This window comes from Homo sapiens, chromosome 4 (assembly GCF_000001405.40).
Source record: "Homo sapiens chromosome 4, GRCh38.p14 Primary Assembly".
Lineage (NCBI taxonomy): Eukaryota > Metazoa > Chordata > Mammalia > Primates > Hominidae > Homo > Homo sapiens.
Genome location: NC_000004.12, coordinates 86,729,307 through 86,743,899, shown reverse-complemented (window position 1 = coordinate 86,743,899; position 14,593 = coordinate 86,729,307). Strand labels below are relative to the sequence as shown.

Genomic DNA, 14,593 nt, shown 5'->3' with positions numbered 1-14,593 from the left:
TCTAGCTCTTGGCTACTGTGCAGATTATTCTACTTCATGTTCCTTGTCTTTACTTCAAATACGGAAATAGTCATGGAAAAGCCAAATTTAGTAGGCTTTCAAAAGTTGTAATAACAGAGTATTACCCAGACTTCAATCCTGTCATCTTTACAATTTCTAGCCTTGGTTATTTATAAATTTTTCAATGGACTTTTCTTATTTATATAAATTCAAAGAAATTTTAGAAATATAACAACATTGTTAAATTCTAGCTAGATATTGTTGCCAATGAAAGCTCCAGGATTAAACCTGTTTTCTTTGTTAGAAACAGAAATTAGTAAGTATTAGAGAGGAGCTAAAGATACAGTAGCAACAAACTAGTATCTTCATTATCAGTAGTATACCTGGTAACTCTTCAAATACTTGGAGAACATTTTTTTTTTCCCCTAACAAACATGCCACTTAACCACTGTCAAGGAATTTGCAAAGACACTGAACTCCATAGTTGTAAAACTCTCTCACTGATTCAAGCATAAACATGAAAGAAAGAATCTTCTTAGTTGATCAGTCAAAAGAACTACAGAACCACTACCTATAATAAAACACCCAAAGGCAGCAAATATCACACACAAAAAATGCCAGAGATAGGTTAGAGGTTCATATTAATTATGAAAAGTGATAGTATAGATGATTTAATATCTAAGAAAGATGTATAGTCTTGAAACACATACAAAGAATATTTGATTCTCTCCAAGTGTTAATGGATGGACTGGATAAGAAATGTGCTTGAGAGAACTCAGTTGTGAGATATGAGAAGACCAAATAGTAACTTTTCCACTTCCCCAGAGGTTAGTAGAAGAAAAAAGGAGAGTTAAAAAAAATAGTTTTGTGTTAGAGAAAGAACTTCAGGAAAAATGAATGCTATTAAATATAGGAATAATTTCCATGGGAATGCAAACTATTCTCTATTCCCACAAATCTTTAAAAATGAACTAATCACAGCTCGTTCTATATATGTGGGTTAGTGTGGTAGCTTGGCAAATTACATAGAGTTGACTGCTGTGTGATTATTTGACTTGTCACCTTTTCAAAACGGTCCAAAACTGGATTTATAATTAATCAATCTAAGGTTTCCTTCAGACATGGGCTCTGCCAGCATTTCCACTGGGGGAAGGTAAGTTAAACCCAGGTAATTTCTTGGTCCTGACAATCTTGAGAAGATGTGGGTGGTCTGGAGAACATATAATCTGGAAATCTTAGTGATATCTCTTGGTTTCAGAGGAAGCCAATCAACTAACCATTAGGTCTAGGAATGGTCTCAGGGTTGAAGATTATCCAGATCCATCAGGACCTTGGTAACTTTATAAATACTGTTTTGCTGAGACTATACTTTAGCCTAAAGATGAACTAAAGGTATCAGTAGTTCCTGAATAGCACTAGGAAAACAAACACCTGAACATATTAATATTTTTTATTCATCTCTGAAGTCTGCCAATGGAACTTTAATGTTCAGGTGTCCCAACTAGGTCCAAAATCAAAATATGCCTTTATCACTAACTATCTTCCATAAACATATTATTTTCTAAAAATCATTTTCTAACTTTATAGAGAGCTGTACACTAAAAATCTAAAATTGCGGAAAGTCCTGGGACTAGTTCATAAAATCCAGTAAGTCTCTGTACCTCTGAGATTCAAATAACAGTTGCTACGAGGGGGTTTACTATTGGGCCAGACAAGGTTCACTAGGGTTAAGATAACTATCTTTCTTAAAAACATTAGGAGGATTTCTCCATGTGAGAAGTTACAACCCTAGAATAAATTCTGACTTATTCAGAGAATTCAACTTGGTTGTAATTTAACTAAAGTTAATTGAGCATATAACCAGCCAGGAATGTGTAATAATCTTAAAAGTCACCTGTTGAAAAAACCAGACATAAATAAAATCTCAATAATAATTTCCACAACTACAAAGGAAGAGTTAAATAGTATTAAGATGTATTATCCCCACTGAATGGCAGAGTCTAAGGAAAGTCTGTTAATATGTTACATTGGAAGTTGGTAATATCATTTGAAAATATAATGAAAAGAGGTTAAATGGACATACAGAAAAAGATATTTTCTTGGTTTCCCTCCATGGAAAGCGAAGGACCAATGTGCGCACTCCATTGTGAACTTCAAACACAAGGACACCTTTAGAACAGACTCCAAGCAATATTCCTGTTTGTGACTTCTTCTCAGGGTGCACTCGGTGAAAATGAACTCCATATTCTGTCAGTCTTTGGCAGACCTGTTGGAATAATACCATACCATAGCAATACACTTTGGTAAATGGTGACATAAAGATATTGAAGCTGTATGATATGGTTTGGCCGTGTCCCCCCACAAATCTCATCTTGAATTCCCACATGTTATGGGAGAGACCCACTGAGAGGTAACTGAATCATGGGGGCAGGTCTTTCCTGTGTTGTTCTTGTGACAGTGAATAAGTCTCATAAGATCTGATGGTTTTAAAAGGGGAGTTTCTCTGTACAAGCTCTCTTCTCTTGTCTGCCTCCATGTGAGACATGCCTTTCACCTTCTGCCATGATTGTGAGGCCTCCTCAGTCACATGGAACTGTAAGTCCATTAAAGCTCTCTCTTTTGCAAATTGCCCTGTCTCAGGTATGTCTTTATCAGCAGTGTGAAAATGGACTAATACAGTAGATTGGTACCAGTAGAGTGGGCATGGCTGAAAAGATACCTGAAGATGTGGAAGTGACTTTGGAACTGGGTAACAGGCAGAGGCTGAAACAGTTTGGAGGGCTCAGAAGAAGACAGGAAAATGTGGGAAAGTTTGGAACTTTCTAAAGACTAGTTGAATGGCTTTGACAAAAATGCTGATAGTGATATGAACAATAAGGTCCAGGCTGAGGTGGTCTCAGATGGAGATGAGGAACTTGTTGGGAACTTGTTGGGAACTGGAGCAGAGGTGACTCTTGTTATTTTCTTTTTCTTTTTCTTTTTTTTTTGCAAAGAGATTGGCAGCATTTTGCCCTTTCCCTAGAGATTTGTGGAACTTTCAACTTGAGAGAGATGATTTAGGGTATCTTGTGGAAGAAATTTCTAAGCAGCAAAGCATTCAATATGTGACTTGGGTGCTGTTAAAGGCGTTCAGTTTTAAAAGGGAAACAGGGCATAACAGTTTGGAAAATGTGCAGCCTGACAATGTGATAGAAAGAAAATTCCATTTTCTGAGGCAAAATTCAAGCTGGCTGCAGAAATTTACATAAGTAACAAGGAGCCAAATGTTAATCACCAAGACAATGGGGAAAAGGTTTCCAGGGCATGTCAGAGACCTTTGCAGCAGCCCCTCCCATTGCAGGCCTGGAGGTTTAGGAGGAAAAAATGGTTTTGTGGGCCGGGCCCAGGGTCCCTCTGCTGTGTAGAGTCTAGGGACTTGGTGCCCTGTGTCCCAGCCACTCCAGCTATGACTAAAAGGGGCCAAGGTACAGCTCAGGCTGTTGTTTCAGAGGCTGGAAGCCCCAAGCCTTGGCAGCTTCCACATGGTGTTGAGCCTGTGAGTGCAGAGAAGTCAAGAACTGAGGTCTGGGAACCTTCGCCTAGATTTCAGAGGATGTATGGAAATGCCTGGATCCCAGGGAGAAGTTTGCTGCAGGGGCAGGGCCCTAATGGAGAACCTGTGATAGGGCAGTAGGGAAGGGAAATGTGGGGTTGGAGCCTGCACACAGAGTGCCAACTGGAGCACCACTTAGTGGAGCTGTGAGAAGAGGGCCACTGTCCTCCAGACCCCAGAATGGTAGATCCAACGACAGCTTGCACCATGCACCTGGAAAAGCCACAGATACTCAACACCAGCCCATGAAACCAGCCAGGAGGGGTCTATACCCTACAAAGACACAGGGGCAGAGCTGCCCAAGACCTTGGGAGCCCACCTCTTGCATCAGCTTGACCCGGATGTGAGACATGCAGTCAAAGGAGATCATTTTGCAGCTTTAAGGTTTGCCTGCCCTGCTGGATTTCAGACTTGCGTGGGACCTGTATAGCCCCTTTGTTTTGGCTAATTTCTCCCATTTGGAATGGCTGTATTTACCCAATGCCTGTAACCCCCATTGTACCTAGGAAGTAACTAACTTGCTTTTGATTTTGCAGGCTCATAGGCAGAAGGGACTTGCCTTATCTCAGATGAGACTTTGGACTGTGGACTTTTGGGTTAATGCTGAAATGAATTAAGACTTTGGAGAACTGTTGGGAAGGCATGATTGGTTTTGAAATGTGAGGACATGAGATTTGGGAGGGGCCAGAAGTGGAATATGGTTTGGCTGTGTCCTCACCCAAATCTCATCTTGAATTTCCACATGTTGAAGGAGGGACCCAGTGGGAGGTAAGTGAATCATGGGGACAGGTCTTTCCCATGCTGTTCTCATGATAGTGAGTAAGTCTCACGAGATCTGATGGTTTTAAGGAGGGGAGTTTCCCTGTACAAGCTCTCTTCTCTTGTCTGCTGCCATGTGAGACCTTCCACCGTGATTGTGAGGCCTCCCCAGCCACATGGAACTATAAGTCCATTAAACCTGTTTCTTTTGTAAATTGCCCAGTCTCGGGTATATGTCTTTATCAGCAGTGTGACAAAGGACTAACACACTATATCAATGTAGTTTAATGTGGAAAGGATAATCTTTTAAACAAAGGTTACTGGGACAACTGTATATCCACATGCTAAAAAAATGAATTTCAACCCTTACTTCACCCTACACATGAAATTTAACCAAAAATGGACCACAGACCTAAATACAGGCACTAAAAGCATAAAACTTAGAAGGTGTCTGTGACCCTGGGTTGGGCAAAAATTTCTTAGATGGAACACAAAAACCATAAACTAGAAAATAAAAAAAATTGGAAACTTCATTAACATTGAAAACTTGCTCATCAAGAGTTAATGTTGGCTGGCACAGTGGCTTATGCCTGTAATCTCAGCACTTTGGGAGGCCAAGGCAGGCAGATTACTTCAGGCTAGGAGTTTGAGACCAGCCTGGCCATCATGACAAAATCCTGTCCCTATGAAAAATACAAAAATTAGCCAGGTATGGTGGTGCACATCTATAATCCCAGCTACTCAGGAGGCTGAGGAAGAAGCATCACTTGAGCCTGGGAGGTGGAGGCTGCAGTGAGCCAAGATCGCACCACTGAATTCCAGCCTGGGCAACAGAGTGAGACTCTTAAAAAAAAGAGTCAATGTTAAGAAAATGTAAGGCAAGCCACAGACTAGGAGTAAATAAATATATGTAAAACCCACATATCTGATAAAAGACTTGTATCCAGAATATTTAAAGAACATGTACTTCTTAACAGTAAGGAAACATATAACCAGTTACAAAAGGGGGTAAAAAGTTTTATTTGACACATCAATAAAGATGATATATAAATGGCAAATAAACACATGAAAAGATTGGTCAACATAAATAGTAATGAGGGAAGTACAAATTAAAACCATAATAATATACCACTATTCACCTATTTCAAATGTTAAAGTGAAAAAGACTGAAACTACCAAGTGTTGTCAAGGATGTGGAGCAACTGAAATTCACACACTGTTGGTAGGACTGTAAAACTGTACAATGATTTTGGAAAACAGTTTGGAAGTTTCTTACAAAGTTAAACATGCACTTGCCATAGGTCCCAGCAATCCTACTGCTAGATATTTACTCAGGAGAAATAAAAACTGTGTTCACAGAAAAATGTGAACTGGAATGTTTATAACAGCTTTATATCTATCAACTAATGAAAAGAATAAGCAAATTATGTATCTGCACAAAGAAAAACTACTCAGAAAAAAAAAAGAAAAGAAACTACTGATATATACCACACCATGGATGAATCTTAAAAGTATTATTCTAGGCCAGGCACAGTAGCTCACACCTGTATCCCAGCACTTTGGGAGGCCAAGGTGGGCGGATCACAAGGTCAAGAGATCGAGACCATCCTGGCTAACATGGTGAAACCATGTCTCTGCTAAAAATATAAAAAATTAGCCAGGCGTGGTGGCATGTGCCTGTAGTCCCAGCTACTTGAGAGGCTGAGGCAGGAGAATGTTTGAACCCGGGAGGCAGAGGTTGCAGTGAGCCGAGATCATGCCACTGCACTCCTACCTGGCAACAGAGTGAGACTCTGTCTCAGAAACAAAAAAAAGTATTATTCTAAGTGAAAGAAGCCAGACATAAAAGACTGTATATTATATTATTTTTTACATGACATTTTAGAAAAAAAAAAACACTATGGTAATAGCAGATCAGTAGTTGCTAAGGATTACAGGTAGGGGGAGGGGACTGACTATAAAGAGACAAGAGGGAGCTTTATGTATTCGAAATGTGCTGTATCAGGAGTTGGTAAACTTTTCTGTAAAGGGCCAGATAGTAAATATTTCAGGCTTTGTGGGTCATATGATCTTTATTGTTATGACTGGACTTTGCTGTTATAGTATGAATGCAGACATAGATGATATATAAAGAAATGAGTATGGACTAGTTCCAATAAAACTATTTACAAAACAGGCAGGCCACAGTTTGCTAACCCTTGTTCTCAAGACTGTGGAGGTGATTGCTGAACTGTATACATATTTTTATATTTTATTATACTAATTTTTTACTTTTATTTTATTTTATTTTATATTTTATTTTATTTTATTTGAGATGGGGTCTTGTTCTGTTACTTAGGCTGGAACCCAGTGACAAGATCAAAGCTTACTGCAGCCTCAAACTCCCAGGCTCAAGTGATCCTACATCAGCCTCCCAACCAGCTGGGATTACAGGCATGCATCCCTAACTATGCCCAGCTCAACTGCACATATATTTTAAAAACTCACCAAACACTTAAAAATGGTAAATTTTATTGTATGTAAATTATACTGCAATAAAGCAGATTTACGAAAGATATTTCAAAAACAACATAATATATAGCAAAAGTGTAGCCTTAGAAGGTTGTGTTAACAAGATAAAACTTCTTAAGTTAGAAGAAAGATGCTAAAGTTAAAGTGAAATGAAGTAACAGAATATATTATTAGAAGGAGTAGGGCAACCTAATATTCCTTAGGCATGCTATTTACAAGGAGAAAACTGAGACTTAGAGAAGTTAAACACATTGTTCAAGGTCACTCAGCTAGTTGAAATAAGAATTCAAATGCAAGACTGTCTGTCTGCAAATCCTCATGCAAATTCTTTTCACTGTGCCAATCTGCCTTCTACCTTTATTAATAAAATTATAATGTAACATCTTACTTTCTACAAGTATAAAAATGTAATAACTAAGAAAAGTATAAGTCCATAATTTAATATCTTTAAATTTGGACTCAAACAGAAAAAACCACCTTGCCTTTCTTTCTTTCCATGAACACTAGATTAAAGGTAATGTAAGTCTGTGAATAAAATCCCTTCATAAATTTTCACAGGGCTGGTAAACTTGATTTCTTTCTATATGCAGCAGTGAATGGAAGGCATACTGTTACATCCTAGGAAGCTAAAACAGAAGAATGTTCTGAAAATTTGTCTTTTCAACAGAACACTATCTTATATTTGCTATTTGCATTGGAAGTTTACATAATACTATTTTTCTTGATCGTAAATGTACTATTTATCTAAGGTCATATAGAAAGCTGGTTATAGGTCTAATAGACTGTAGAACTAATAGAACTGTAAACTAATAAGTCAATTTTTGTGACTCTCTACCCCTATCTACATTAATTGGCATTTAGTGGGAAGACCATTTTTAAAGGATGTAATTGAATTTTAAGCCTTTTGAGAAAAAGCAAAACAAACAATTCTAGAATCAGTATGAACTTGCCTCTCATATCAAGCCATTCACCAAATTCATTTGTTTCTTCTGTATAATGTATTTTGATTTTGAGTATGGAATAAGATAAAAGCATAGGATTAACAGCCAGATAGACATGGGTTCAAATCATATCTGCCCCATATCTCTGGGAACATTACATTTCCTCTTTGAGCCTCATTTCCCTCTTTTACAAAATGAGAATTAAAATACCATAATTTTAGCCAGCAATGAGATGAGATTATGCACAGTATCAGTTACTGGCACTTGAACTCTTAGATATGTGTCCTCTAACACTTCTTGCTTACTTGGAAAAGATACAAAGCTTATCATTTGTAATCTTGGATGCTTACCTTTAAAAATTCTAACTCTGTCTCTTTTTCAGAAGCTCCCACATAGGTATTATGCAATTTGGGTAACTCTTCTTTGATATAGGATAAATCAAGTTTCTCCATCACTCTGGCGGGCAAATAGTGCTCCATTCTAAAGTAAGACACACCATGAACCTAGATAAAAGAATGTTTTCATAAGCAATTGTTTGCCTTTTATTGGAGTAAACCCTTTTCCTTCTATCTTAAAGTTCTTGCTTTGGCTAAGAGATGAAGTACTTCTATTTCTACCTCTCTCTCTGAGGAATGAGTTTTAGAAGAAATGCATCAGTCTTTCTTTTCTATTCAGTGAGATAAAATGACTGAACTGATCAGCAAGCTTGAGAAGTGTGACATTCAAGGGCCTCATATCACTCTAGTTTAGGATGAACGTTGTGAAGGATGCTGCTCCAGCAGCACAGCTTCTAGCCCCTTGCTTCCTCTTAGATCAATTTTATTTAGAAACATCAGGCTTTAAGTATACTGTGAGTTCTCCACACAGTAAGCTCTGCCAGGCTGCCAGCCCATCATGTGGAAGGCAGGAGATCCTTTTAATTTATATTTGACTAATAACTCCTGTGTATAGTCTCTATAGGTTAGAACTCAGGAGAAGGAGTAAGTGGTAGATATTCCTAAACTCCAAAACAGGATAACTTTAAACAGGAAAAAAAAATCCCACACTTCATGATTTTATATAATTGATATACATGGAGTGCTTGGTCATTCTGAGGAACCAAAGAAGCCTCAAAAATCTTCAGATCTAAACATCAAACACCTGAATCAGGTTTAGTCATTAACTATGTTAAAGGTAACAACACCAAACAAAAATGGTCCTGGAAAAAAACACAAATCCTACCTCTGGTTGATAATCTCCATACTCAGCCTGGAGAGCCAAGGATGCCAGCAATAAGGAAGTCTCATCATCACAGTGCATCCTTTCCTCCAAAATATCTTTTCGAAGCTGAAGGTAATACTGATGACACGTCAGAGTATGTCTGAAAAAACAAACACACACAGACATCTTGGCCTTTGATTTTGAATACTGGGGTGGTTTTTATTATAGGCATGTAAGGTTAATTTCCATGAGTTTATTACTAAGCTTATTATTAAGCTTTTAAGGCATAAGGATTAGATAAACTGTGTTGAAAGAAATATTACTTTTATGATAAAGCAGACATTATCATTGATTGGAATCAAGTAATTCAGTATCAGTAAGCTAAAGGGTCAAAAGACCAGTGTCCAAAAAGAGCAAAAGAGAAACTCTTGTGTACTCACTGTATTAGACTAACATCATCCATAAAAAATTTAATTCTGAAAAACAAAGTAAAATTAACAGTGGCTTTGGTCTTTTTCTTTGGTTCTTCTTTCCATCCCTCTGGGGCCACTTTGGTTAATTTTAAGTCAGGATCAACAAAGAAATATTCATTATCTAAACAGAATGAGAAAAATATTCAGATAAAATAAAAAAATACTTTAGTGTTTTCTTCCGATTTCTTCACTTTTTGGTCAGACTTGCATAAAAGAGTATCATATGAGAATATAAATACAAGACTGTTAAAAATGTGGCAGGGAGCTCTGAGACACTCCATTTAGATGGGAGGCAATATGGCCCACTCTTTTAAGAATGGCGGCTCTAAAGACATACAGTCCTAGATTCAACACCTGGTCACAACATTTACTATCCGTATGACACTGAATATATTATTTTACCTCTCTAGACATCAGTTTTCTTGGCTTTAAGATCAGGCTAGTGGGAATTCTTGCTTTACAGCATTGTTATAAGGATCAAATGACATAATGAATAAAAACACTTGTTAAAGCACACAGTACACGGTAAACATTTAATAAATATTAGCTAGTATACTTATTATTATTGAGCTACCAGCTGAAACCTAGAAGGAATGACATTTATCATTTTATTTTTTAATGTCATTAGTTAACTATTATTTACTCTCTACAAATAAAAGAATTATTCAATACAATTTGATTTTACCAGAATCTGTAAGAAATTAGGTATAGTATAAATAGATATTTGGATGAACTGAATCAGCTTCATGTAGACAATATTGACTGATTAGTCTAAAAGTGAAACTAGTAAAGTGATAGAACATCAGTAGGTACTAATTGACTATTTATTGTATGAGTCTACAGCATAAATTATTCATTTTTAAGGCACAATAATTCAATAAGCTATATTGAGGGAAATATTTCTTTTAGGATACAGAAGATATTAAGAGCTTATAGAGTTTTAGGATCCTTTAACCTGTCAATTGTCATTTATAGTACTTTGTTGCCTAAACTTTCCAAGTTAAATTTTGAGGTAAACAGGAATCTGAAATATTAAAGAGTAATTTATAAATATAATGATTTATTTAAAAAGGAGATGAATTCCAAAAAGTTTCTTACTGCTATGGCAACTCTAATTGATAAATAGGAGAAGTTTCTACTGAAGCTGTGTCTTAGACCACTGTGGTTGTGAACATCATGGGTTTAAGTGGATACAATATTTAAAAGATAATGTGAAATAACTAATTTTTAGCCTTCAATTGACATTTTAAAAAGTCACTGTGATTTTAGGATAGTAGACTAAATAAACTGATGTGGAAATTCAGAAATAAGGTCTTGCTATACATTCAGGCTCATATTAGGATACTAATTTCTAGAGTACACATGTAGACCATTAACATATAAAACGGTCCCTAAAATATAATTAAAATATATTTTTATATAACCATAGCAAAAAATAAAAAAATCTTCCCAGTCAGATACAGAAGGTGCCTAACAAACATAACTATTAAAACAATGAAAGTAGCTGGGAGAAGAAAGGGAGTTCCTAACTCACTTCTACTGACTAGTTCATTTAGTTACTAATTGTCAAAATGAGGTCAGGCATGGTAACAAACATAGGAAGTCTGCTTGTTGCTAAATTTCTATACTGTACTCTGAATATAAAATGTCTTGGTACCTTTGAGGGTAGCTAAAGCAAACAAATGATGCTCTACTAAGCCAATATGTGCCACAACCATATCAAACACATCTTTACATATAGTTTTGGTATCACAGGTCAGTTCCAGTCTTTGCCCGTTCAGAAGCATTATGTTTACTTTCCTTCGGTTATCCTCATTCTTCCCTTTCTTAGTCTACAATTGAAAAAATAAACGGCATTTATTAAAATAAGCATTATAAGAATTTTAACTGGTTTTTAACACTACTGAAATTATTTTCTAAGAGTGACACAAATTGGTTTTATTACTTACAAGAATAGACCGTGGCAAATCCAAAGATATAAATGGTTCAATTGTCATTTTCACAAACTCAGGGCCAAAGAAATTCTGCAAATCACATAAGCAGAATCAATATTTTTTACTATTTATTCTAGTTTTTTCCTTGAAAGGAAAAATAATGTAAGAATAATAAATTACATATGAAACTACAAAATCACCACATTAGAACTAGGTGATCTAAAACAAACGTTGAAGCTTTCATGAAGAGGTATACTGGAATTTACCAATAACAGAAATGGAGTATGCCTTACATTAAGTTGAAACAAGTTGTTCCCCATCTTTGTTTTCTACTATTGATGTCAAACATAATGCCTCACTTTTACACTGTTTTACAGGGTTTTCACTATTTGGCATCCAGATAGACTCAGACTCAAAAAAAAGGTCTTGAAGAAGTAATATAGAGTTATAAAGCTCATATAAGTATTTGGTTTAATATTGCTAATGCATGAAGTGATTGAACAGAATCTCATTGTCTTAGAAAGCGACATTCAGCCTAAAACAGATCGTAGGGTATGTGTGCTGGCTCACAACTAATCCCAATGCCTTGGGAGGCTAAGGCAGGAGGATCGCTTGAGGCCAGGAGTTTCAGACCAACCTGGGCAACATAGTTAGACCCTGTTTCTACAAAAAATAAAAAATTAGCTGGGCACTGTGGTGCATACCTGTAGTTCAGCTGCTTAGAGGGCTGAGGCCAGAGGATAACTTGTGCCCATGAGTTCCAGGCTGCTGTGAGCTATAATCACACCACTACACTCCAGCCTCACCAACAAAGTAAGACCCTACCTCTAAAAAAAATTAAAAGCAAACAGACAAAAACAAAAAAATTGGTCATAGTTAAAAGACATCTACTTTGTGCCTATATGTATATATCCACCTGTAATCACTATCTTGGAACCCTATGACACTGTACTTTTCGTTTTAAATAGTGGCAACTAGGGATAGTATCAGTCACATAGTCTCTGACCCCTGCCAATGTCCCCAGCAAGAAAATATTTCAGGAAATAAAGGACCCATGAGATGGGGAAAGTAGAGTGCAAACTCTGTATTTAGTGCTTCTCAATCTATGATTTCCCTTTTCTCCTTTTGTATATTCTGGGGTTTTGGCTAAGAGGGAGAACTAGTTTAGGAGACAACTTAAAACAAGTTAGACTCTGAGTGGGAGAAGGGTTGAGAAAAGACTGAAAGATCATATCTTAATGGGCAAAAGGTAGAATGAAACCAGAGCTAATCTTGAGGCCAGAAGCAAGTGGTCTGTGTGTATGTGTAGGTGTGTGCTTGAACTAATGAATGTTACCAGAGTTTTATTTTTGTTGGTTTCTTCTTTGCATTTGGTTGTACAGCTCACTGATTGCTTGGTGTAGGAATTCTATTCAATTTAATTGAGTGTGTAACATGTGACAGATACCATTTATGTAAAAGTAAAAGTTCAACATAAGGGGTTTATTAATATTCAATGAACCAATAGGACACATTTTAAACAAGAATAGAAATAGAGTAGAAAGAATGAAAGTGGAAGATAGCCGAATAGGAACAGCTCCAGTCTGCAGCTCCCAGTGTGATCGACACAGAAGACGGGTGATTTCTGCATTTCCAACTGAGGTACCTGGTTCATCTCACAGGGACTGGTTGGACAGTGGGTGCAGCAATCGGAGGATGAGCTGAAGCCGGACGGGGCATCACCTCACCCAGGAAGCCCAAGGGATAGAGGGATTTCCCTTTCCTAGCCAAGGGAAGCTGAGACAAACTGTACCTGGAAAAACGGAACACTCCCGCCCAAATACTGCACTTTTCTCACAGTCTTAGCAAGTGGCAGACCAGATTTTCTCCCGTTCCTGGCTCAGCAGGTCCCACACCCACGAAGCCTTGCTCACTGCTAGCGCAGCAATCTGAGATCAACTTCCGAGGCTGCAGCCTGGTCGGGGGAGGGATGTCTGCCATTGCTGAGGCTTGAGTAGGTAAACAAAACGGCTGGGAACCTCGAAGTGGGTGGAGCCCACCGCAGCTCAGCAAGGCCTGCTTCCTCTACAGACTCCACCTCTGTGGCCAGGGCATAGCTGAACAAAAGGAAGCAGAAACTTCTGCAGACTTAAATGTCCCTGTCTGACAGCTCTGAAGAGAGCAGTGGTTCTCCCAGCATGGCGTTTGAGCTCTGAGAATGGGTCCATGACCCCTGTAGCCTAACTGGGAGACACCTCCCAGTAGAGGCTGACAGACACCTCATACGGTTGGGTGCCCCTCTGGGATAAAACTTCCAGAGGAAAGATCAGGCAGCAATATTTGCTGTTCTGCAGCATCCACTGGTGATACCCAGGCAAACAGGGTCTGGAGTGGACCTCCAGCAAACTCCAACAGACCTGCAGCTGAGGGATCTGACTATTAGAAGAAAAATTAACAAACAGAAAGGAATACCATCAACATCAACAAAAAGGACATCTACACCAAACCCCATCTGTAGGTCACCAACATCAAAGACCAAAGGTAAATAAAACCACAGAGCAGAAAAGCTGAAAATTCTAAAAACCAGAGTGCTTCTTCTCCTCCAAAGGACTGCAGCTCCTCACCAGCAAACGAACAAAGCTGGACAGAGAATGACTTTGGCAAGTTGACAGAAGTAGGCTTCAGAAGGTCGGTAATAATAAACTTCTCTGAGCTAAAGGAGCATGTTCAAACCCATCACAAGGAAGCTAAAAACCTTGCAAAAAGGTTAGAGGAATGGCTAACTAGAATAAACAGTGTAGAGAAGACCTTAAATGACCTGATGGAGCAGAAAACCATGGCACAAGAACTTTGTGACACATGCACAAGTTTCAATAGCTGATTTGATCAAGTGGAAGAAAGGGTATCACTGATTGAAGATCAAATTAATGAAATAAAGCGAGAAGACAAGATTAGAGAAAAAATAGTAAAAAGAAACGAACAAAGCCTCCAAGAAACACGGAATATGTGAAAAGACCAAATCTATATCTGATTGGTGTACCTGACAGTGACAGGGAAAATGGAATCAAGTTGGAAAACACTCTGCAGGATATTATCCAGGAGAACTTCTCCAACCTAGAAAGGCAGGTCAACATTCAAATTCAGGAAATAAAGAGAACACCACAAAGATACTCCTTGAGAAGAACAATCCCAAGACACATAATT

General features: G+C 37.8%; 1 protein-coding gene across 24 annotated transcripts in view, besides 1 other annotated feature; it reads right to left on the bottom strand.

Annotated features, from left to right (window-relative positions):
- PTPN13 (protein tyrosine phosphatase non-receptor type 13) overlaps positions 1 to 14,593 on the bottom strand; it is a 220,847-nt gene that overhangs the window by 71,262 nt on the left and 134,992 nt on the right. For all 24 annotated transcript variants that reach the window (XM_011532165.3, NM_080685.3, XM_017008511.3 and 21 more), the window contains 6 exons: positions 11,426 to 11,500; positions 11,134 to 11,308; positions 9,444 to 9,597; positions 9,025 to 9,163; positions 8,154 to 8,306; positions 2,084 to 2,266 (listed from right to left, as the gene is read on the bottom strand). In XM_011532165.3, the coding sequence (XP_011530467.1) occupies positions 2,084 to 2,266; positions 8,154 to 8,306; positions 9,025 to 9,163; positions 9,444 to 9,597; positions 11,134 to 11,308; positions 11,426 to 11,500 (879 nt within the window). The remainder of the gene's footprint in view (positions 1 to 2,083; positions 2,267 to 8,153; positions 8,307 to 9,024; positions 9,164 to 9,443; positions 9,598 to 11,133; positions 11,309 to 11,425; positions 11,501 to 14,593) is intronic.
- Positions 12,871 to 13,370: an enhancer, noted in NCBI's record as "H3K4me1 hESC enhancer chr4:87651683-87652182 (GRCh37/hg19 assembly coordinates)". NCBI's record gives its function as "activates a minimal SCP1, AML or CMV promoter by ChIP-STARR-seq in primed H9 embryonic stem cells {active_cell/tissue: H9 hESC(primed)}" and the evidence as "EXISTENCE:reporter gene assay evidence [ECO:0000049][PMID:30033119]".